We start from the raw sequence: 16,697 nt of genomic DNA, 5'->3' as shown, positions 1-16,697 counted from the left end.
CTATGTTGCCCAGGCTGGTTTTAAACTCCTGAGCTCAAGTGATCCTCCTGCCTTGGCCTCCCAAAGTGCTGGGATTACAGATGTAAGCCATCGTGCCTGGCCCACCTAAATCTTAAAATGGTAAAAAAGAAAGTAATTTTTAATACCACCTTTTAAATTTTATTTATTTATTATGGAGACAGGGTCTCACTCGGTCGCCCAGGGTGGAGTGCAGTGGCATGATCATTGCTCACTGTAGCCTCGACCTCCTAGACTCAAGAAATGCTTCCCACCTCAGCCTCCTCAGTAGCTTGGACCACAGGTGTGTCCCACCACACCTAGGCAATTTTTTTATTTTTTGTAGAGACAGATTCTTGCTATGTTTCCATGCTGCTTTTGAATGCCTGGCCTCAAGAAATTTTCCTGTCTTGGCTTCCCAGGGAAATTCTTTTAATTTCAAAAACATCCTTTTATTATTCATTTATTTTAAAGAGATGGAATCTTGCTCTGTCGCCCAACCTACATTGCAATGGCAAAATCATAGCTCATTACAACCTCAAAATACTGGGCTAAGAGATCCTCCCACCTCAGTCTCCTGAGTAGCTAGAATTACAGGCATGAACCATGGCGGCCAGCTCAAAAGTATCCCTTTAAATAGGAAGCTTATACAATTTCCATAATACATTTTAAGATGTTTAATTCATGCATAAGACTCCCTTTAAAAATATATCTACTATATAAATGAAATGCCCACGCTAGTCTCAAATTCCTGGGCTCAAGCAATCTTTCTGCCTTGGCCTCCCAAAGTGCTGGGCTAATAGGCATGGGCCACCATGCTTGGCAAATATATATTTTTTTAATTTACTTTTTCTTCACCAAAAGCAGATACTTGAAATACCACTTCTTAAAAGCAGGACAATATATGTACGTAAGTATGTGTGCATATGTACGTATGTACAAAATTATGCTAGTAAGTAGCATAACTGAGATTTAAACCCCAATCTGACTCCCAAGTCTGTGCTATTAATCACTATTCTTTTTTCCTCCATGAAAAATATGTAGAGTAAGAATCAGATCTGTAAGGAATACCAATATTTAAAGTATAGACAAGAATATAAAAAGACCTCAACAGAAACTGGGAAAGGTTAGCCAAAGAAGAAAATAAACCTGTGTGGTTATCATATAACCCAAGTTAAGAAAAATATTTCAAGAGAAGAAACATCTAATTTTTGAAAAAAAGTTATAAACAAATATACTATAAATAAGTTGGACAGTTTTTCATAGTGAATTTTTCAATTGCAACACAGGTTTTTTTCTCATGCCTGTAATCCCAGCACTTTGGGAGGCCGAGGTGGGAGGACTGCTTGAGGCTAAGAGTTCGAGACCAGCCTGGGTAACACAAGGAGACCCTGTCTCTACAAAAAATAAAAAATTAGCCAGGTGTGGTGGCGCATGCCTGTAGTCCCAGCTGGTTGGGAGGCTGAGGTGGGAGAACCACTGGAGCCTGGGAGACTGAGGCTGCAGTGAGCCGTGATCACACCACTGCACTTCAGCCTGGGCGACGGAGTAAGACCCTCTCTCAAAAAAAAAGAACACAGGGGTTTTTTTTACTTGATAATTTGTCCTAAGAGGAACATACTACATTCATGGTATCAGTGATGGTTTCCAGGTCTCCAACTTTTGAATAATTTTTTTTTCCAAAAGTGTGTGTGTGTGTGTGTGTGTGTGTGTGTGTGTATCTCTGTGTGAGACACAGAGACTGTTTAATGATTCATTCATTCATTCATTTAGAGAGTGGGTTCTTGCTGTGTTGCCTGGGGCTTAATCGATTCTCCCGCCCCAACCTCCTGAGTAGCTGGGATTACAGGTGCACCACCAAACCCAGCTGTTTAGAATTTAGAAGGCATTTGTTTCTGGGGGAAACCAAGTAAAACTTGACTTTTTACAAGTAAATTACAATTTAAAAATAAAAACAAAAAACTATTCAGATTCTGTAGTTAATCCATAAAATCCCATATAACTCATAATGAGATACTACTAGTACTTTCTATCTAAATAGCAAAGTCACCCAGCAGAATGGAGGATGGAGAATTCCATTCTCCAAATCACAGAAACAGATTACTGTCCACTGAAAGGGGAATTCTCCCCCAGCCTTTGTAGCAAGACAATTTCTTCAAGATTAAAAAACAGCTTCTGCAAGACAACCGCTACTGAATATTTTAAAGCAACGAAAAGAAAGGTAAATCAATTACCCTCTACCACTCTTTCACTATTTACCATCTATCTGTTTATAAAGGACTTTATTTATTTTATTTTATTTTATTTATGTTTTTTGAGACGGAGTTTCGCTCTGTCGCCCAGGCTGGAATGCGGTGTCATGTTCATAGCTCACTGCAACCTCTAACTCTTGGGCTCAGGCAATCCTCTTGCCTCAGCCTCCCAAGTAGACAGGAATACAGGAACGTGCCACCACAACTGGCTAATCTTTTTTTTTTTTGGAGACAGAGTCTTGCTCTGTTGCCCAGGATGGAGTGCAATGGCGCGATCTCGGCTCACTGCAACCTCTGCCTCCCTAGCTCAAGTGATTCTCGTGCCTCGGCCTCCCACGCAGCTGGGACTACAGGTGTGCATCACCACACCTGGCTAATTTTTTGTATTTTAGTGGAGACCGGGTTTCACCATGTTGCACAGGGTGGTCTCGAACTTCTGAGCTCAGGCAATCTGCCTACCTCGGCCTCCCAAAATGCTAGGATTACAGGCGTGAGCCATTGCAGCTGGCCCTGGCTAATTTTTAACTTTTTATAGAGACAGTGTCTCATTATGCTGCCCAGGCTGGTCTCAAACTCCTGACCTCAAATGATCCTCCCACATCAGCCTCCCAAAGTGCTAGAATTACAGGCATGCCTGGCCTATACTGGACATTTAAACATCAAAGCTAATGCTACACAATTAGTTAAAATGACACTGGGGAAGACAGTGACTTTGAGTCTCTAGTTCCCACATAACACACATCAACTAGGATAACAAAACTAAAAATCCACAGATGACACATGTAACAAATAACTGACAAAATGGTCTCATGATTTCTAAAACATAAGCAGAGGCTGGGCGCGGTGGCTCATGCCTGTAATCCCAGCACTTTGGGAGGCCGAGGCGGGTGGATCATCTGAGATCGAGAGTTCGAGACCAGCCTGACAAATATGAAGAAACCCTGTCTCTACTAAAAATAAAAAAAAAAAAATTAGTTGGGCATGGTGGCGCATGCCTGCCATCCCAGCTACTTGGGAGACTCAGGCAGGAGAATCACTTGAACCCGGGAGGCAGAGGTTGTGGTGAGCCAAGATCGCACCATTGCACTCCAATCTGGGCAACAAGAGCAGAACTCCTTCTCAAAAAAAAAAAAAAAAAAAAAAAAACCATGAGCAGGGAAGGATAATTCTTGTATCTACGTGGGGGAATTTGCTAGTCCTAAGAACAGGTGATTCAGGGACCCAGTCTTTCAGGTCTGACATCTTGAAAGCATACTGAAAAGCTACCTGGAAGGCATATTCTCAAATTGTTGACAACAGCAGCTGAACCTGGGAGGATTTTTATATACTTGAGGGTGATTGTGAGGAGCCAGAGTTAAGGTCTGCAGGGATTGGAGCAAGCTGGGCCCTATAAAAACTTTCTAAATTAACAGCCAATGCTCACTTTCCAGGACAAAGCCCCATACTGAGGAGAAACTGCTGGACAGAGGATCTAAACTAAGGATGCCAAGAATAACAGGATCAAAGAAAAAAAAAGATACAGAGAAAAATGAGGAAAGACACAGCTAGAACTAGAAAGTAGACCTTTTTTTTTTAACAGCTTTACTCAGATATAATTTACAGACTATATTTTTAAGCACTAACAAAAATAACAAAAGCAGCAGCTCTAGAGCTGTGACGCCAGAAGTATTCTCACCAATGCCTTCCCATCTAAGGTTCAAAGTTTAACTTAATTTAAAAATGAGCAACAGAAGAGATCACAGTCAAATCTCACAGAAAGTAATTAGGAAGGAAAAAAACAATAAGAGGCAGAATAAGCTGGGAACAGTGGCACATGCCTGTAGTCCCAGTTACTCAGGAGGCTGATGAGAGAAGATCCCTTAAGGCCAGGAGTTAGAGGCTGCAGTGTGCTATTATTGTGTCTGTGAATAGCCAAGGCACTCCAACGCTGGCAACATGGTGGGACCCTGTCTCTTAAAAAAAAAAAATTTTGGCAGACACGGTGGCTCATGCCTGTAATCCCAGCACTTTGGGAGGCCTAGGCAGGTGGATCATTTGAGGTCAGGAGTTCTAGACCAGCCTGCCCAACATGGTGAAACCCCATCTCTACAAAAAATACAAAAATTAGCTGGGCGTGGTGCCACCGACTATAATCCCAGCAACTCTAATCCCAGCTACTGTAGTACTGTGGATGCTGAGGCAGGAAAATCGCTTGAACCTGGGAGGCAGAGGTCACAGTGAGCTGACATCACACTACTGCACTCCAGCCTGGGCCACAGAGCTTGACTCTGTCTCAAAAAAAAAAAAAAAAAAAAAAAAAAAAAAGCAGACTATCTCCTCAAATAAAGTGATCTAGAAAAGCTTATCCACAAAACAAATAAAAGCATACCATTGTGAATGAACTCAAACAAACATATATGGCCGGGTATGGTGGCTCACGTCTATAATCCCAGCACTTTGGGAAGCCGAGGCAAAACGATCACTTGAGGTCAGCAGTTCGAGACCAGCCTGCCCAACATGGTGAAACCCCATCTCTACTAAATATACAAAAATTAGCCGGGTGTGGTGGTGTGTACCTGTAATCCCAGCTACTCTGGAGGCTGACCCATAAGAATCGCTTGAACCTAAGAGGCGGAGGGTTGCAGTGAGCCGGGATCTTGCCACTGCACTCCAGCCTGGCTGATAGAGTGAAACTGTGTCTCAACAAAAAATTAAAAGATAATAAATAAAATAAAATATACATATATATCATATATTGGCTGGGCACAGTGGCTTTCGACTGTAATCCCAGCACTTTGGGAGGCAGAGGCAAGTGGATCACTTGAGCTCAGGACTGAGAGCAGCCTGGGCAACTTAGAGAAATCCCATCTCTACAAAAATGAAACTTAGCCAGGCATGGTAGCATGCACCTGTGGTTTCAGGTACTCAGGAGGCTGAGGTGGGAGGATCACTTGAACCTGGGAGGTGAAGGCTGCAGTGAGCCAAGATCATGCCACTGCACTTGAGCCTGGGTGACAGAGACCCCATCTCCGAAAAAAAAATAAAATATATATTATATATATTAAATATATAAATAATATATAAAAGTTTTTAAAGTTTTATATGTATATATACACACACACAAACAGAATTTTTTTTTTTTTTTTTTTTTAAGAGAAAGGGTCATACTCAGCCAGGTGCGGTGGCTCACACCTGTAATTAATTCCAGCACTTTGGGAGGCCAAGGCGGGCAGATCACGAGGTCAAGAGTTTGAGACCAGCCTGGCCAATATGGTGAAACCCGTCTCTGCTAAAAATACAAAAACTAGCTGGGTGTGGTGGCATGCGCCTGTAGTCCCAGCTACTCAGGAGGCTGAGGCAGGAGAGTCGCTTGAACCCAGGAGGCAGACAGAGGTTGCAGTGAGCCGAGATTGTACCACTACACTCCAGCCTGGGCAATAGGAGACTCTCAAAAAAAAAAAAAAAAGAGAGAGAAAGGGTCATACTCTGTCACCCAAGATAGAGTACAGCATCACGATCACAGCTCATTGTAACCTCTAGCTCCTGGCCTCATGAAGTTCTCCCACCTCAGCCTCCTGAGCAGCTGGGAGTACAGGCACACACCACCACCTCTGGCTAATTTTTTTATTTTTTGTAGAGACAGGGTCTTGCTATATTGCCCAGGCTTTTCTTGAACTCCTGGGCTCAAGCAATCCTCAACTTAGAATCCCAGAGTGCTGAGATTACAGGTGTGAGCCACCATGCCTGCTAAAAGAAAAAATTTTAATGCTGTAATAAAGAACAAAAATCAAGAAAAACTTTTCAGTTTTTCAATGAGATAAAATAACTCAAGAAAGAAGTAGAAATAAAAGATAACTTTTCACAAATTAAGACTATACTAGAAAGAGTAAAAGACTGAATAAACACAACAGATTTTTTAAAAATGCGAAATTTTGAGGCATGTGTAGTGGTGCATGCCTACAGTCCCAGCTACAGGAGCTCAAAGCTATCAAGTGCCATGATTACATCTGTGAATAGCCACTGCACTCCCATGTGGGCAACACAGCAAGATCCTGTCTCTTAAAAAAAAAGAGAGAAATTTTGAAAACTGAATAAGGAAAAAGAGGAAAAAGATTTGATGTGACAAGGGAGATTCAAAACAAACAGTCAATATATGCACAACAAGAGTCCTTAAAGAAGAAAACCAAAGCAACTGTAAAACCAAATGCTAAAAATTGTAATTCAAGAAAATTTTGTTGAAACTTTTAAAAAATACATATGAAACTACAAATTGAAAGTGTACACTGCGTACCCAGAAAAACTGACAAAGAACACCACCAAAATATATTCTAGTAAAACTACCGATTTTTAAAGGAAATCACTTAGAAAAAAGATTTTAAGAAAATCACATATAAGGAAAAAAGATTAGACTGGCATCTCACTTTTTATACCGATGCTTTATTCCAAAAACAGTAAAGTAACATATTTAAGACAATGAAGGAAAGAAAATGTGAACCAAGAATTTTATATAGAGCCAAAATAATTTTGAGGTATAAAGACACAAACAAGATATTATCAATAGGCGATACTGTTTCCATAAGCCCTTTCTCAGGAATCTACTTAATAACAAGTCACAAACAACAAAAATGACTGGAGAGACAGTGACATAAGGACTGATGGCACTGATTATTGGTGGATGTTAGCATCACAAAAAGAACTAGACATATATACCTCCTGCCGGAAGTACACCACCTATGAAGTAGTTCTGCCCTAAACAAACAAACAAACAAACCTGAATATTCAGAAAATATGGAAGACAGAGGAACATGCTAAATGACATCATGGGGAAGCAATACTCTAGATTTATGGCAATGTAGTTTCTCAAACAAAAAAAGCTACAAAAAATGCATAAAGGAGTAATCCATATATTAAAAGCAACTTAATAATCACACAATGTAAAAACCTTATTTGGACTCAGATTCAAGAAAACAAACAATAAAAGAAAATAACCATTTGTAAGACAATTGATAATGTGAAATGAATTAATATTTCTAAATATTAATTTTTTAGATGTGATAACAGTATTGTTATTTTTTTTTTTGAAAATCCTTTTTAGAGATACATAACCAAACATTTATGGATATAATAATATGATATCCAGGGTTTGCATCAAAATACTTCTGAAAGAGTAGGTAGGTTAGCATATAGATAAAATAATTACTGAAGCTGGTGGATGAATACATAGGGGTTCCTTACATGATTCTACCAACTTTTGTCCATGTTTGACATTTTCTTTAAAAGGTTTTTTTTTTCCCTTTCTTTTTTTTTTTTTTTTTGAGATGGAGTCTCACTCTGTCATCCAGGCTGGAGTGTAGTGGCACAATCTCAGCTCCCCGCTACATCACTGAACTCCTGGGTTCACGCAATTCTCCTGCCTTAGCCTCCTGAGTAGCTGGGATTACAGGCGCCCACCACCACACCGGCTAATTTTTATATTTTTAGTAGAGATGGGGTTTCAACATGTTGACCAGGCTGGTCTTGAACTCCTGACATCAGGCGATCCACCCACCTCAGCCTCCCAAAGTGCTGGGATTACAGCCATGAGCTACCGTGCCCAGCCAAAAGATATTTTTTAAGAAAGAAAAAAACACATGGATTTAGTATTCTGATTTATTAATTTAATAAAAATTTGTAGTTTTGTAACACAACTCTAAAATATTACCCTCTCTTACCCATAGAAATTCATTTTGTTTCAACTTTTATATTTTCCAGATCACATTTTCAAAGTCTTAAAAAAAAACTGATAAAATCTGATAGAGGTCAGGTGTGATGGCTCACACCTGTAATCCCAGCATTTCGGCAGGCCAAGGGGAGGGCGGAATTGCTTGAGCCCAGGAGTTCAAGACCAGCCTGGGCTACATGGTGAAATCTTATCTCTACAAAATACGCAAAAAATGAGCTGGGCATTGTGGCACGCACCTGTAGTCCCAGCTACTCAAGAGGCTGGGGTGGGAGAATCACCTGAGCCCAGGAAGTCAAGAATGCAGTGAGCCATGATTGTCCCACTGCACTCCAGCCTGGGCATAAGAGGGAGACCCTGTCTCAAGACAAACAAACAAAACTGATAAAATTCTATCCTGACTTATCAGGTCACAGGATTACAGGTGTGGGCCACCATGCCCAGCCTTACAACTCAGTTTTGAGAATGACTATCAAATCTGGTCCACAAAGGACAATATAATTTTCGTTCAGTGATTCATCCCCATAATTTCAATTAGAGAAAGCATGAAAAAAAGACTTACCTGTTTTATGTGTGGATTCATGGCCATTTCAGTTACATTCTTCTTGGTCTCACAGAAAATAATAGCCCTCCCTTCAGACCCACTGTAGACTTGAAGGACATCTCCAATAACTGCTGGCCTCTGAGACCAATGACACTGGATGGCCAAATGCTTTGAAGAAAGAAAATACCACATTATTTGTTTCATTAAAATTATTTTAAAATATTTCTCTTGTGTATTTTTTCTATCTGGTCAAGAATTAGCCTTCCTGGGAGACTGTAAGACAAAGACTCTCCTCAACAGCACTTAAAAACAATATAGACAAATGGTCATCAATAAACTGACGAAAGAATAAACAAACTGCAGTATATTCAAACAGAATACCATTCAACAATTAAAAGAAACCAACTACTGATATACATGGAACAATATGAACCTTAAAAAAAATGCCGAATAACATCTTACAGAAAATGAGCACATACAGTATCATTCCATTTATATGAAGTTCTAGAATAGGCAAAACCAATCAATTGTGGAAGAAAAATCAAACAGTGGTTGTCTCTGAACTGGGGATACTGACTGGGACGGGGCATGAGGGAACTTTCCAGGATGATGGCAATATTCGATATGATGATAAAGGTTTGGGTTACACACATATGAATTTTTCAAAAATAGGCAAATGTACACAAGATTTTACATTTCATTGTACATAATAAAAATTATATGAATGAACCTCAAAAACATTATGCTAAGTGAATGAAACAAGACATAAAAAGTCACATATTGTATGATTACATTTACAGTCATGCGTTGCTTCATGACAGGGATATGTTCTGAGAAATGTATTGTTAGGCAGCTTCATCATTACGCAAACATCAAAGAGTGTACTTACACAAACCTAGGGTATAGCCTACTACACGCACCTAGGCTATATGGTATGTCCTATTGCTCCTAGGCTACAAACCTAAACAGCATGTTACTGTACTGAACACTGTAGGCAATGGTAAGTATGTGCGTCTCTAAACATATCTAAACATAGAAAAGGCACAGTAAGAATATGGCATAAAAGATAAAAACTGATACACCTGTATAGGACAGATTCATTTTAATCTTATGGGACCACCATCGAGCATATGCCATCATATATATGGTCCATCACTGACCAAAACATCGTTATGCAGCACATGACTGTACATGAAATATCCAAAACAGGTATATCCATACAGACAAAAAACAGACTAGTGGTTGACAGCGGATAAAGAAAGGAGGGAATGGAGGCTGGGAATAGTGGCTCACGCCTGTAATCCCAGCACTTTGGGAGGCCAAGGCCAGCGGATCACCTGAGGTCAGGAGTTCGAGACCAGCCTGGGGAACATGGTGAAACCCCATCTCTACTAAAAATACAAAAACTTAGTCATGGGCACCTGTAGTCCCAGCTACTCGGGAGACTGAGTAAGGAGAATTGCTTGAACCCGGGAGGTGAAGGTTGCAGTGAGCCAAAATTAGGCCACTGCACTCCAGCCTGGGCAACAGAGCTAAACTCTGTCTCAAAAAAAAAAAAAAAAAAAAAAAAAGGAGGGAATGGAGAGTAACTGTTTAACGGTTGTTGGGTTTCCTTCTGGGGTGATGAAAATGTTTGGAACTAGATAGAAATGATGGCTGTATACTGTAAATGTACTATATGACACTGTATACTTTAAAATGGTTAGTTTTAGTTATGTGAATTTTACCTCAATTTAAAAAACTGTAAATATGGCACTCTAGTTAAAGATATATATAGGCAGGGCGCAGTGGCTCATGCCTGTAATCCCACCACTTTGGGAGGCCGAGACGGGTGGATCACCTGAGGTCAGGAGTTTGAACCAGCCTGGCCAACGTGGTGAAACGCCATCTCTACTAAAAATACAAAAATTAGCTGGGCATGGTGGCAGACGCCTGTAATCCCAGCTACTCAGGAGGCTGAGGCAGGAGAATCGCTTGAACCCCGGAGGCAGAGGTTGCAGTGAGCTGAGACTGCGCCACTGCACTCCAGCCTGGGCGACAAGAGTGAAATTCCATCTCAAAAAAAAAAAGATATGTATGTTAAAATACTTACGGGGAGGCCAGGTACAGTGGCTCACACCTGTAATCCCAGCACTTTGGGAGCCGGAGGCAGGTGGATCACGTGAGGTGAGGACTTCCAGACTAGCCTGGCCAACATGGCAAAACTACATCTCTACTAAAAACACAAAAATTAGCCGGACATGGTGGCGCATGCCTGTAGTCCCAGCCACTCAGGTGGCTAAGACAGGAGAATCTCTTGAACCTGGAAGGTGGAGGCTGCAATGAGCTGAGATCATGCCACACTGCACTGCAGCCGGGGCGACAGAGCAAGACTCTCAAAACAAAAACAAAAACACAACACGAACAAACAAGAAAACCCACCACATCTTTGAGTGGTGTTAACAGTAAAAAAATAAGGAAAAATAAAAACCACAGGGATGCAAATCAGCAAAACAGACTGTGGGAAACTCATAAGGCAAATGAGTTTTTTTGTTGTTTTTTGAGACGGAGTCTCACACTGTTGCCCAGGCTAGAGTTCAGTGGCACGATCTCAGCTCACTGCAACCTCCGCCTCCTGGTTCAAGCGATTCTTCTTTCTCAGCCTCCCAAGTAGCTGGGACTACAGGCACGTGCCACCATGCCTTGCTAATTTTTGTATTTTTAGTAGAGACAGGGTTTCACTATGTTGGTCAGGCTGGTCTCGAACTCCTGACCTCAGGTGATCTACCATCCTCGTCCTCCCAAAGTGCTGGGATTATAGGTGTGAGCCACTGCGCCTGGCCAACAAATGAGTTTTTTCAACAGAAAATTGCAAAGAAAAAAAAAGGAACTATAGATTATAAAATGTTTAAGACGCATATCAATCAGTAGCAACGTCAAGAATTGTATTTGGATCCAGATTCAAACAAACTATTTAAAAAAGACAGCAAGGGCAATGTGCACACTAGGTATTTAATGATATTAAAGAATTACTATGCCAGGCGCAGTGGCTCACGCCTGTAACCCCAGCACTTCGAGAGACCAAGGCAGGCGGATCACTTGAGGTCATGATTTCGAAACCAGCCTGGCCAACATGGCAAAACCCAGTCTCTACTAAAAATACAAAAAATTAGCCAGGTGTGGTGGTGGGCGCCTGTAATCCCAGCTACTCAGGAGGCTGAGGCAGGAGGAATCACTTGAACCAGGGAGGTGGAGGTTGCAGCGTGCTGAGATCACACCATTGCACTGCAGACTAGGCAACAAGAGTGAAATTCCATCTCAAAAAAAATTACTGTTTTTCTTCTACTGATAATGACTGTGGTTTTAAAGAGCCCTTAGTTATCATTTTGGAAATACATACAATTACTTGAAGATAAAATGATGACTGGGATTGTTTCAAATGCAGGGGTGAAGAAAAGATCATTGTTAAAGACTGGTAATAGGTAATGGGTATATCATGTTCTTTATACTATTCAATCTTTCTATTCAATTTACTATTCAATTTTATATGTTTGAAAATGTTCTTATCAACTGTTTTTTACTATACATTTTACATTCTTACTGCAAAACTTTCAACCATTACAAAATAAAAAAGCTTCTTTTTTCTTATTCTTTTTTTTTTTTTTTTGAGACAGAGTCTCAATCTGTTGTCCAGGCTGGAGTGCAGTGGCGCAATCTCAGCTCACCGCAACTATCACCTCCTGGGTTCAAGCAATTCTCCTGCCTCAGCCTGCCGAGTAGTTGGGACTACAGGCGTGCGCAACTATGCCCAGCCAATTTTTGTATTTTTAGTAGAGAAAGGGTTTCATTATGTTGGCCAGGCTGGTCTCGAACTCCTGACCTCGTGATTCACCCGCCTCGGCCTCCCAGAGTGCTGGGATTACAGGCATGAGCTACCACGCCCGGCCCACAAAGCTTCTTTTTACCATCCAGCATGCCCCTTCCCAGAAGTAATCATTATCTGATGTTTATTCTTTCAACCTGTGTTTGTATATTTACATAAATGCCTAAGGAATCCATTTAGCACTATTTATTTTTTAAAATAGTGTAATTTTTGTATACATCATTGTATAATTTGGTTTTTATCACTGATTGTTTTTAACCACTGCATTACATTCTGCAGATACTACTATTCACTTAGTCACCTAGTCTTTCCTACATACACATATATATGCATCTATTAAATAGAAAGATGACATGTTACCTAGTTGCCTGTCATAAATACGGTAAATATTACCTTTAGTTCTTTTTTCTTTTTTTTTTTTTTGAGATGTTGTCTCACTCTGTCTCCAGACTGGAGTGCAGTGGCACGATCTTGGCTCACTGCAACCTCCGCCTCCCGGGTTCAAGCAATTCTCCTGCCTTAGCCTCCTAAGTAGCTGGGATTACAGGTGCGGGTCACCACACCCAGCTAGTTTTTGTATTTTTAATAGAGACGAGGTATCGCCATGTTGGCCAGGATGGTCTCGATCTCCTGACCTCGTGATCTGCCCGCCTCAGCCTCCCAAAGTGTTCAGAATACAGGCGTGAGCCACCGCACCCAGCCTTTTTTTTCTTTTATTTTTTTTTGAGACAGAGTCTCGCTCTGTCACCCAAGCTGGAGTGCAGTGGCGCGATCTTGGCTCACTGCAAGCTTCACCTCCCGGATTCACGCCATTCTCCTGCCTCAGCCTCCCGAGTAGCTGGAACTACAGGCGCCCGCCACCATGACCGGCTAATTTTTTGTATTTTTAGTAAAAATGGAGTTTCACCGTGTTAGCCAGGATGGTCTCGATCTCCTGACCTCATTATCCGCCTGCCTCAGCCTCCCAAAATGCTGGGATTACAGGCGTAAGCCACCACGCCCGGCCCTAATTCTTTTTTTAAACATACCATTGGTTTAACTTTCATGGAGTCAAAATTATAAACCTTTTCCTTTATGGATTCTTCTTCTGACTTCTGTGGTTTTTTTTTTTTTTTTTGAGACAGGGTCTCCCTCTGTCACCCAGGCTGGAGTACGGTGGCGCAATCTCAGCTTACTGCAACCTCCACCTCCTGGGTTCAAGTGATTCTCATGCCTCAGCCTCCCAAATAGCTGGGACTACAGGGGCCCGCCACCAGGCCGGCTAATTTTTCTATTTTTAGTAGAGACAGAGTTTCACCATATTGGCCAGGCTGGTCTCACACTCCTGACCTCAAGTGATCTGCCCGCCTTGGCCTCCCAAAGTGCTGGGATTACAGGCGTGAGCCACCATGCTCAGCCCAACTTCTATGTTAGAAAAGCATTCCCTTTCCTGAAATCAAAAAACTCTTTATTCACCTACGTCTGCTTTAAGTTATTTTACAGCTTAATTTTTTAAATCTTTGAGAAATTTTTTTGGTTTGGGGGAATGGGATGAGGATCTATCTTTTTTTCACCTCAGCTTTAACAAATTATCTCCGCACTATTCTTTTCTAGTCAATATAAATCGCCTTCTTTGTCACGTTGTAAATATTTTGTTTTTTGTTTTTGTTTTTGAGCGGCTTTAAAGAGAGAAAGAAAGAAACACTTCAAATCTGTCTCTATGGCTGCTTGTGTGTTTCCTATTAGGACTTGCCTATTCACGTGCTTTTTTTCCCCCTATTTATTCTATTCTGCTACTCAGTCTCAGACTATAAAAATATATAGGTGTCTTACTAAGAGCAGAAAAGGAAGATTAGGCATGAAGAGGTACCCAAAACTTAAATTTAGCTTCAACAAATGTCAAAAGTAAATACCAACTAAAAGCTAAAATCTATCATGCTAGAAAGCTACTTACTTCCACAGTAGTTGCAGCCTTTTGAGTCATTTTTCCAACAAGGTCAACCTGTTCATATCTGGATTTCATGTATTTTTTTGCAACTTTGTATACCCACTGTGGGCAAGTTGCAGAAAAAAGTAAAGTCTGAGGATTGTCTTCAGAATCTTAAATAAACAAAAAGAATTCAAATGTTTTCTTAATTTCCCACGATGTAGCCCGCTCTTAAAAATCCTCCCAAGCTTCAAAAAAATAATGAAAAATGTAAAACTTGGGGTGAATTTTTAACACACAGACTTCATTGCAATTATTAAAACTTTCAACTTGCAAAACTGGGGGACAATATGAAGAGAACTGAACCCAAAAGGAAAGTGAGAATTTAAGCAGGAACAATGAACAAAGAAATCAATAAAATGAGTTAGTAAATCTAACTACTGACTATAAAAAAATAGAATAAAGCACAGAAAGCTAAGAAAATAGTTAAAATGATGCTATCATACTTTCTTTTTCAAGGACAGAACAGATACCAAATTATTTTAGTTTTGTTAGAACGCAGGGGACACTGCAATAAAAATTATTAAATAAAAACTCGTTTGCATTTAAGATCGAACAATAATTGCTAATGTGCTTATTTTGAATTAGGATATACCAGTTTTGTAGGATTCATGAATAATATCTTCAACTTGTTCAGCGAAACCTAAATCTAACATCTGATCCACTTCATCAAGCACAACATGTCGCAGTTTAGAAAGATCCAATCGGCCACTCTGCAGATGGTCTTTGATACGACCAGGTGTTCCAACCAAGATGTCAATACCATTTCGAATATGATTAACTGTGAGAAGAGAGAAATGCCACCAATATGTAAAATTCAAACTTTCACATTATTTATTTAAATATGAGTATCAAATATGCCTTTGCACGTCTATCAAACATATTTACTCACTTTGGCTTTGATATGATGTTCCACCATAAAAACACGCCACGCTGAGTTTCCTAGTTATATCTTTGAAGTCTTTGGCTACTTGGTTTGCCAGTTCCCTTGTTGGAGCCAAAACAAGTACCTGAGCAAGAGGTTTAAAAAACAAAAAGATACTTTTCTAAAGACATATCTAAATTAAAACCAAGAAGACTTTTTTTAGGTGCATTTAAAACCAGGAATCTCAACATTAATGTCGAAGTATTTAAAGACACATCACAAATAGCAAAAGGAACAGCAGCATGTATTTATTACATTCCCCCCTTACTTCCTTCAGGTCTCTTCAGTGAGGTTCCCAAGCCCATTTTCATATCCCCCTGCCCCTCTTTATCATTTCTCCTCAGCACTTAAACCACCTAAGATACTGATATTTTACTTATTTGCTGATTGTCTATCTCACCCAATAAAATGTAAGCTCCATGAAGGCAGGAATTTATGTCAGGTTGGGTTACTGTATTCCTTACACTTCAAACAGTGCCTGGTACAGTACAGGAAACTCAAAAATGTTAAACGAATGAATGTTCACCATGTGCTAGGAACTAATGCTTTACAGGAATTATCTAATTTGATTCTCATAAAAACCCATGAGTGGCATTATGCCACCATTTTCGTAAATGAGAGACTTGTGTCTCAGAGAATTAAAGTCTTGCCCAAAATCAAACACCTAGAAATGGCGGAGCTGGAATCTCCAGTAACATCTTTCTAATACAAAAGCTTTTTAAGGCAGCTTTGGGGCCAGGCGTGGAGGCTCACACCTGTAATCCCAACACCTTGGGAGGCCAAGGTGGAAGGATCACTTGAGGCCAGGAGTTCAAAACCAGCCTGGACTACAGAATGAGACCCCAACTCTACAAAAAATAAAAAATTAGCCAAGTGTGGTGGCACCTGCCTGCAGTCCTACCTACTGGAGAGACTGAGAGGAAGAGAGAATTGCTTGAGCCCAGGAGTTCATGGCTACAATGAGCCATGATCACCCCACTGTACTCCATCCTGGGCAACAGAGAGAGACCCTGTCTTTAAAAAAAACAAAAAACAAAACAAAACAAAAAAAAAGCAGTGTTGAGATTATATCCTATGTCCTATTTCAGTCTTTTCCTAATTTCACCCGAAAAACATAACTCTCCAAAAATATTTATCCTGTAAGTCAACACAGCCAACCTGATTTGGGATAGCTGATCCAAGACTATTATGATTTAATTATATTTATGTATGTATGTTAATTTGCTCTTATAATACCACTCAGGAGTCTTACAAAGAACAAATTACTTTTAGTCATACAGTTGTTCATATTATGATGCTGATTTTTTTCTTCACTTTTACAAACCTTAAGTGCACACAGCTTTTTAGGTCAAATTTTAGGCTTACATTTTACTAGTCCTCTCTGTTGGTTGATTTTACATTTATAAAATAAGATGTCTAGTACCCCAATAATATATAAACTAGCAGTATCATT

The 16,697-nt window shown here is 40.3% G+C and overlaps 1 protein-coding gene across 5 annotated transcripts in view; it reads right to left on the bottom strand.

Annotated features, from left to right (window-relative positions):
• The window catches only part of DDX50 (DExD-box helicase 50), a 45,533-nt gene that overhangs the window by 18,357 nt on the left and 10,479 nt on the right, over positions 1-16,697 (bottom strand). For all 5 annotated transcript variants that reach the window (XM_011540144.3, NM_024045.2, XM_047425726.1 and 2 more), the window contains 4 exons: positions 15,212-15,329; positions 14,915-15,100; positions 14,287-14,432; positions 8,510-8,659 (listed from right to left, as the gene is read on the bottom strand). In XM_011540144.3, the coding sequence (XP_011538446.1) occupies positions 8,510-8,659; positions 14,287-14,432; positions 14,915-15,100; positions 15,212-15,329 (600 nt within the window). The remainder of the gene's footprint in view (positions 1-8,509; positions 8,660-14,286; positions 14,433-14,914; positions 15,101-15,211; positions 15,330-16,697) is intronic.

Source organism: Homo sapiens, chromosome 10, assembly GCF_000001405.40.
Source record: "Homo sapiens chromosome 10, GRCh38.p14 Primary Assembly".
Classification (NCBI taxonomy): Eukaryota; Metazoa; Chordata; class Mammalia; order Primates; family Hominidae; genus Homo; species Homo sapiens.
This window is presented reverse-complemented; position numbering and strand designations above follow the sequence as displayed.